The following is an 8,259-nucleotide window of genomic DNA, read 5'->3' as shown; positions in this document are numbered from 1 at the left end:
CTGTCAGACAGGGACATTTAAGTCTGTAGAGGTTATTGCTGTCTTTTGTTTGTCTGTGCCCTTCCCCCAGAGGTGGAGCCTACAGAGGCAGGCAGGCCTCCTTGAGCTGTGGTGGGCTCCACCCAGTTAGAGCTTCCCAGCTGCTTTGTTTACCTACTCAAGCCTGAGCAATGGCAGACACCCCTCCCCCAGTCTTGCTGCCACCTTGCAGTTTGATCTCAGACTGCTGTGCTAGCAATGAGCAAGGCTCCGTGGGTGTAGGACCCTCCGAGCCATGTGTGGGATATAATCTCCTGGTGTGCCGTTTGTTAAGCCTGTTGGAAGAGCGCAGTATTAGGGTGGGAGTGACCCGATTTTCCAGGTGCCATCTGTCACCCCTTTCTTTGACTAGGAAAGGGAATTCCCTGACCCCTTGAGCTTCTCAGGTGAGGCAATGCCTCACCCTGCTTCGGCTCACGCACGGTGTGCTGCACCCACTGTCCTGCACCCACTGTCAGGCACTCCCCAGTGAGATGAACCTGGTACCTCAGTTGGAAATGCAGAAATCCCCCGTCTTCTGCATTGCTCATGCTGGGAGCTGTAGACTGGAGCTGTTCCTATTCGGCTATCTTGGCTCCACCCGCTCCCACCCCCGTCCCCTGCCGTGTCTTCTTTTCTCTATCTGTGGGTGGCCCTTCCTTGGCTTTTTGATTCTCACTTCTCATGTCCCAGCAGTCATCTGTTATTCAGCCTTTTATGCCTTTGTAAGCAGCATCCACATTTAAATCTTGTACCTTCTGTAAAATTATCTTTGGCTAATAACACTTCAGGCACAAATATGGCTGGATAAAGAGCCTGAATGTTAGTGTTGAAGACAAACAAGCTCCTCATTTGAGTTTCCTTTACATTAAAATGAAACAAAGCAAAAACAGAAAAGAAGCACAAAAAGCAGAAACCACTGTCATGCCACTTTTATTTTTTGCTTAGTTTAGCCAAGATGATTATTTTTAAAGATGTGAAATAAACCCATGATAATGGTGTGTTTTATTGCCTTTTCTTTTACTGGTAGGTTGAGGAAAGGCAGGTTCTTCCCCAAAATCAGATGATGAAACGAAAAGGGAGAGATGGAGTTTAACAATCCATCTCTTCTATGTTTTGTTTCCTAGATTCTGCATTAATCCATTACATGCCTGTAATCCTTGCACTTTGGGAGACTGAGGTGGGAGGATCTCTTGAGCACAGGAGGTTGAGACCAGCCTGGGCAACACAGGGAGACCCTGTCTCTACAGAAAACAAAACAAAACAAAATGTTAGCTGTGCATGGTGGTGCACACCTGTGGTCCCATCTATTCAGGGGGCAAAGGTGGGAGAATTACTTGAGCCTGGGAGGTCAAGTCTGCAGTGAGCCATGATCATGCTATTGCACTCCAGTCTGAGCAACAGAGAAAGACCTTGTCTCAAAACAAAAAAAAAAGAGAGCGAGAGATGACAGGCTTTCTCTCTCTCCCCAGGTGGTTGTGCCACTTTAAGACTTCTTTAAGGGAAGTAGAGAGGATGAGTGAGCACTGATCGGGCATTGCCCAAGGAGCTTGGCTGGAATCCAGGCCACACAATAGTTGCAGGAACATTTGACACTCAAATAACACAAGGCCCCAAGGCAAGAGCAGAGGCGAAATAAAGCCTGTTACAGCAACACTCAGGGGGAATGTAACACGTGTTTCCACACTTATTTATAGAAGCTTGTTCCACCTCTATGGCAGAGACCTTTTGGCAGTCTTAATTTACTTCTGGGGAAAATCTTTGGGACAAAATTTTTTTAAACAGCCAGTACCTTGCTAACTGCACTGATGGCAAAGTAATGTGAGCAGAAATGATCGACACAACATGTTTTCTCTTCTAACATAATTGCTTTCTATTTGTGTAGTCTGTAATAATTAATGTATAGAGAACATGGCTCAAGTGATTTTGTGATAAAATAAACAGGGAAACTACTAATCAAACCAAGGTATAAAAATTAGTATAGCTCTTATAGTTACAACATAGTCAGGGCTAATAAGTGGTGGTTATGCCAATGTTTCCCGTTGAGGTGGTATAGAAAATAAAGGTCACCACCTCAAAATTCTCATTTATGTAAGACTCATAGAATGTCTGTGTTGTCAATGCTCCCACGGCACTGAGCAGCTGACCCTTGTTTTGGATGTCTGTGGTTATAACTGTGCTTGTCTAGGCTCTTGTTAAGGTCAAGAAAATTTCTAGTTATTTGGTGTTGCAATTATTAGAAATGTATCTGTCACTATTGCTTCTTTTCTTTTTAATTTGTTATTATTATTTTTTTGAGACAGAGTCTCACTCTGTTGCCCAGGGTGGAGTGCAGTGGTGTGATCTTGGCTCACTGCAACCTCCGCCTCCTGGGTTCAAGTGATTCTCCTGCCTTAGTCTCCCAAGTGTCTGGGATTATAGGCATGTGCCACCACACCTGGCTAATTTTTGTGTTTTTAGTAGAGATGGGGTTTTGCCATGTTGGCCAGGCTGGTCTCGAACTCCTGACCTCAGGTAATCTGCCCACCTCAGCCTCCCAAAGTTCTGGGATTACAGGCATGAACCACCATGCCCAGCCTGCTTCTTTTAGGTCCTAAAGAAAATGCTCAGTTGTTGGAGTGAATGTTGACTCTACAGGACACCTTGGTGTGTGCTTTCAGGAAGACACTGTAGCTAAGTGGTTCAGGTTCCGAACTCCTGAGGTTTAGAATCAGAACTGTTTTTGAACCCTCACTCTGTCACTTTCTAACTGCAGGACTTTGAACAAGTTATGTACGTCTGTAAGTTTCAGTTTTCATAGTCACAAGAAGGGGTCGTTATGAGGATTAAATGAAATCATGTTTGCATATTAAGGTAAATGCTAAGCTTTGGAAATAAAGAGACCCCAAGATATAGTGGCTTAAATAAGAGAGCAGTTTATTTCTCTGTCACTTGAGGCTGGTCTGTGGACACTACCAGGCCATTCAGGGACCCAAGGTTACAGCTTTCTTGTTGCTCTTCAATCACTGGTCATCTTGGATTGCTGTCTGCACCTCGGGTCCAGCCAGGGAAAGGGCTAGGCGCCAACGACTAAGGAAAGTGACTCGCTTTTACCGATGGAGAAGACTGAAAAGGTATGCTTGTCACTTCAGCTCACATCCCATTGCCACAGCCCCATCTTACTCACTTGGTCGTGCCTCACTACAAAGGAAGCCGGAAAATATAGTCTTCAGCTGGGCAGCTGTGTGTCCAGGAAAAAAAGAGAGGATACATTTTGGGGAGATAACTGTCTGCCATAGCATATCGCACTCAAAACTCAGCACGTAGTGCTTAAACATAGATGCTATTATTTTCATGAAATCTCTCTAGTATGTGTTCTTTGGGTCATTTCCTCAACTAGATCATTGCCTGGAACAATTAATATTTCTCAAGTGAGAAATATTGGATATGGGATACATTGTTTTTATTCAACTAATTAATACAAATAAAATTAATAAAAATATTAAGACATTTTTATGGATGTTCTGGGTTTCTCCAGTGCAACTTTTTCTTTTCTTTTCTTTTTTTTTTTTTTTTTGAGATGGAGTCTTGCACTGTTGCCCAGGCTGGAGTGCAGTGGCGCGATCTCGGCTCACTGCAGTCTCTGCCTGCTGGGTTCGAGCAATTCTCCTGTCTCAGCCTCTCCAGTAGCTGGGACTACAGGTGCATGCCACCATGCCTGGTTAATTTTTGTATTTTTAGTATAGACGAGGTTTCACCATATTGGTCAGGCTGGTCTCAAACTCTTGACCCTAGGTAATCCACCCTCCTCAGCCTCCCAAAGTGCTAGGATTACAGGCATGAGCCACCGCGCCCAGCCCAGTGCAACTTTTTCAATTGGCTGTCTTTCATCAGATGGTGGGGTGAGCTGTGAGGAAGGGCTGGGAGGACAAGCACCAGCAATGTTCCTAGGTGACATCATCTAACCAGAGAATGTTTTTGACCCTCACACAGAGGAGGTATATGCATGTGGGAACCAGCACCTTGACCATGAGCTTCTTCCCACTACATATCAGATACTGGAGAAGCAGAGGCAAAGACAGGAATACAATTTTTCCAAAAGGTAGACACATTTTCAGAATGCTAACTCTTTCCTGTTTGTAAACATGAATTGGTCTAACATGTTTGGCAGGCTGTGATTTTTCTCATGCATCATAAATAAATACTAAAACAAGCTTCATGAATTTCTCCCTTATATACTTAGGTCTCTGGAGTTGGTTGGATTGTGCCTCTCAGTATCTCGCCATTCTAGCAGACTCTAATAGCACAAGCAAATCTTCCCTGCGGGGAGAAGTGAGCAAAGAGGACCTTCCTGAAGGTTTAGACCTGTCTGTTTTGTTGGCCCTGCTGGAATCTTAGACTGTCAGTTCTGGAGGGTCATTAAACATTACCCAGCCACTCCATGTAGGAGTCACATCCCCAACACTGTTGTCAGGTCCAGCCTCAGGTGGAGCAGTTCCTAGGAGGTCACCAGCCTCTAATATAGTTAGTTCCATTTTTGGACAGCTTTGACCATTAAGCTTTCTTTTTCCACATTGTGTCAAAATCTTCCCCTTCAAAATATTTACCTACCTTACGGGTTTCTACTCTCTGAGCCACAAAGCACAGTTCTAATCCCCTTCGCAGCTCTTTCTTCTGATGTTGTGTAATGACGCTAAACATTTCATATGAATGGCGTGATGCCACTTTCACTGTCTAGTTTTTGGATGAACAACATACTTAGAGTGGGAGCTGACATGCAGTCACACATGTGAATCACCCCTGAAGCAAACATAAAATATGTTTGTGATACAGGGTGAGATAGAAGAGCATATTGGATGGACACTGGATTATCCCAGTCTGGGCCCCATGAAGATGTACATGGTCAAGTCAAGGAGACCACTGGGGAGCAGTATGGTCCACAACTCGGGAAACTTCGATTCTTTTGTGGAAATCATGTGCCGTGCCTGCTCTATGCCAGGCACTGGGCCAGTGGTTTATAAATGACTGAGTCACTGCTCTTGACCTTTCGCTCACAGTTTAGAAGGGCCACCCTGGGAAACAAACACAATGAGACCAGAGCATAATGAACATCAGACATCTGGGGGCCCCAGAGATGGGGGTGTACTGGATGGGGAGGGGCAGCCTCCTTGCCTTGGCTTCTCTAAGCCTGGTTTTTTTTGGCTAGACCATTGGAGAACAGTGAACAGGAAGGAGCAGGCTGTGCTCATGGTGTGGTTGATACACCAGTGGGCCTGGAAAGGAGGCTGGAAGGGGAGGCTGGGAGGCAGGCAGAGGCTGGGAAGGTAGGCAGAGGCTGTGCCAGGAAAGACCTGGATGCCATAGTAGGAGTTGACTTTTTCCTGAAAATACCAGGCATTGGAGGACTGTAAGTGAGCGAATGACATTATCAGCTTTGAATTAGGGAGATGGCTCTGGGTGCTCTATGGAGTGAGGTTTGGGGTATGTTCAGATTGATAGCAGATCAGCCCAGAGGCTAGTGCATAATTCAAGGCAAGAAATGCCAAAGGCCTGCTCCAAATCTGCAAGGAAGGAAGGGGGAGACTGACTGGGGAGAAAAATAGGAAAAGTAACTGGTAGGGCTTGGATACTGAGGCCATGTGGGAAGAAGGAGAGGTGAGGAAGAACAGCCTGTGACGGCTTCCGTGCGGGAGATGTCCATGGTGGCAGGGGAGCGGGAGGGACTTCAATTCCTGTTACTAAAGTACTGAGAGGCCCCAGCCCACGCATAGCTCCCTGGGCTGGGCTTCACACTCTGAGGGGTAGGGTGCCCAAGCCCACCGAGGACAGGGGGCTGCTGCTGGGTCAGGTGAGACGAGAGAGTGGGCGTGCTCTGCAAAGTAAAAGTTAGACACGAATCAGGCATCCACACCTTGTCTCCTTGGAAGGACAACTCCTGTCTCTCCTTGGCTGTGACTAACATGATCCTAAGAACAGTCTGGGATCTGATCTGGTGTCTATGGAGCTTGGACCAGGATCCCCAGTGCCTTCTGGGGCCGACTCAGGTCTGATCTGTGCTCCCATCAACTCAGGAAGGGCATGGAGACTCCAGTGCTTTCAAGCCTCCTCCCTTCTTGATAGTTTAGTTTCAAACTCACTCAAGGGAATACTCAGCAATTAGTCTAATTTCATCCCCCTTTGCCCCTTTCTCTCTTTTCCAGCAACAAACATACAATGTTTCTTAGATTGGTTCTTAGCTTTTCTACAAACAAAACCACAATCACAGTCTGTTAGTCACTGAATTATTAATTCCTAACTTAACATAAAACAAATGCCTACATGAAACAGCAATAAAGCATTGCAAGAATATTTATTTTGAGTGACTAAACTATACACTTCCTGTTCAGTGTTAAGGAAAATTGGTCTTTATTATTCCAGGGAAATGTCAAAATCACTAAGTATTGTAGCATTTTGACCTGCGTTATGTTGAACAAACTTTCCACATGTTTCTCATAAAAATATACATCAGAGATGGCTTCAAACTGAACGTCAAACTTAGTTAAAAGTACGAACCTCTTCAAAGTTATTTTGAATATCAGATATAACAATCAAATGCATATCAGCATGGGCCGGTTTTTCTTAGAGGCTGCCTCATGCTGATGGATTTAGCATCTCCGTGCGTGGAAGGGAGGCCTCTGTACTCATCAGAATGAGCCCTGCCAATTGCCAGGTTGGGCTTTGGAGAAACGCTCTCTCCACCAATTTTTTTTTTTTAAAGTATATAACCGCTTATAAAAACATTTTTTAAAATCCATGTGCTTTATCTTGCTTGACCTGTGTGATGATTACCTGGATGTATACATATGTAAATATTTATCAAATTCTACACTGTTCTGTATGATAATTATAGTTCATTTAAATATGAATATGTATTTTCATATTTCATGGAATGTCAGCAAGAATAATTTAAAAAGTTCTTTCTAGTTACAGGTTGAAAAGGGGGATGCGTTTTGTAGCCCGCTATTTAGTTGCTTAAAAATCTTAGTTTTGGCCAGGGACAGTGGCTCATGCCTGTCATCCCAGCACTTTGGGAGGCCAAGGCAGAAGGATCACTTGAGCCCAGGAGTTCGAGACCAACCTGGGCAATATAAGAAGACCTCATCTCTACAAAAAATAAAAAATTAGCTGAGTGTGGTGGTGCATGCCTGTGGTTCCAGCTACTCGGGAGGTGGAGGTGGGAGAATTGCTTGAGCTTTGGAGGCAGAGGTTGATGAACTGAGATCGTGCCACTGCACTCCAGCCTGGGCAAAAATAAAAATAAAAATAAAATAAGTTTAAGTTTCATACTCACTGGACTCTAAGTGCAGTATTTTGGGTTGGACTCCATGGTATCTTTTTGTAGGATCCTAAGAAAAATTGGCATCTGCTTGGGAAAGAATGAGCACTTCCTGCTTATCTTGGCCCAGAGTAGGGATGGGAAGGGTGGAGTGTAAAGTGGGAGGCTGGACCGTAATGTTTCCTAAACATTGTTAAGTGTTTTGTGGCTGTTACACTATTTTGTAATAGAGGTTTTATTAATTTTGAAAATGGATTTCATAGTTATTTTATTGCCTTAAACATCTGCAAAGCCACAATGGTACTGAAGGAGGCTAATTTCTAGAACATGGGCATCTTACTTTTTAGGCTTAACATCCATAAAGTATAAAGGCTTTATGTTTGGGTTATTGATAAATATCTATATACTTTGAGGTGACCTGATGTCTGATTTTCTCCAATATCTTTGCCTTTTTTTTTTTTTTGACTGAGTTTTGCTCTTGTTGCCCAGGCTGGAGTGCAATGGCGCGATCTCAGCTCACCGCAACCTCTGCCTCCCGAGTTCAAGGGATTCTCCTGCCTCAGCCTCCCAAATAGCTGAAACTACAGGCATGTGCCACCATGCCCGGTTAATTTTGTATTTTTAGTAGAGACGAGGTTTCTCCATGTTGGTCAGGCTGGTCTTGAACTCCCAACCTCAGGTGATCTGCCCGCCTCGGCCTCCCAAAGTGCTGGGATTACAGGCGTGAGCCACCGCGCCCGGCCTATCTTTGCCTTTTGAAGCAAATCTGAAGTGTCCTCCTGGTCTAGAGACAGAATGGTGTAGTGTTTAAGAGTGTTGATTCTGGAGTCAAACTGCCTAGGTTCAAATTCCCGCTACTCCTCTGACTAGTGTATCAAATCCTTTTGTGCAAGGGGCTTTAATATGAGAATAATAATACCTCCTGGATCTGTTCTGAGGACCAAGTG

Source organism: Homo sapiens, chromosome 1 (assembly GCF_000001405.40).
Source record: "Homo sapiens chromosome 1, GRCh38.p14 Primary Assembly".
NCBI classification, from domain to species: domain Eukaryota; kingdom Metazoa; phylum Chordata; class Mammalia; order Primates; family Hominidae; genus Homo; species Homo sapiens.
Note: the sequence above shows the minus strand (reverse complement) of the source record.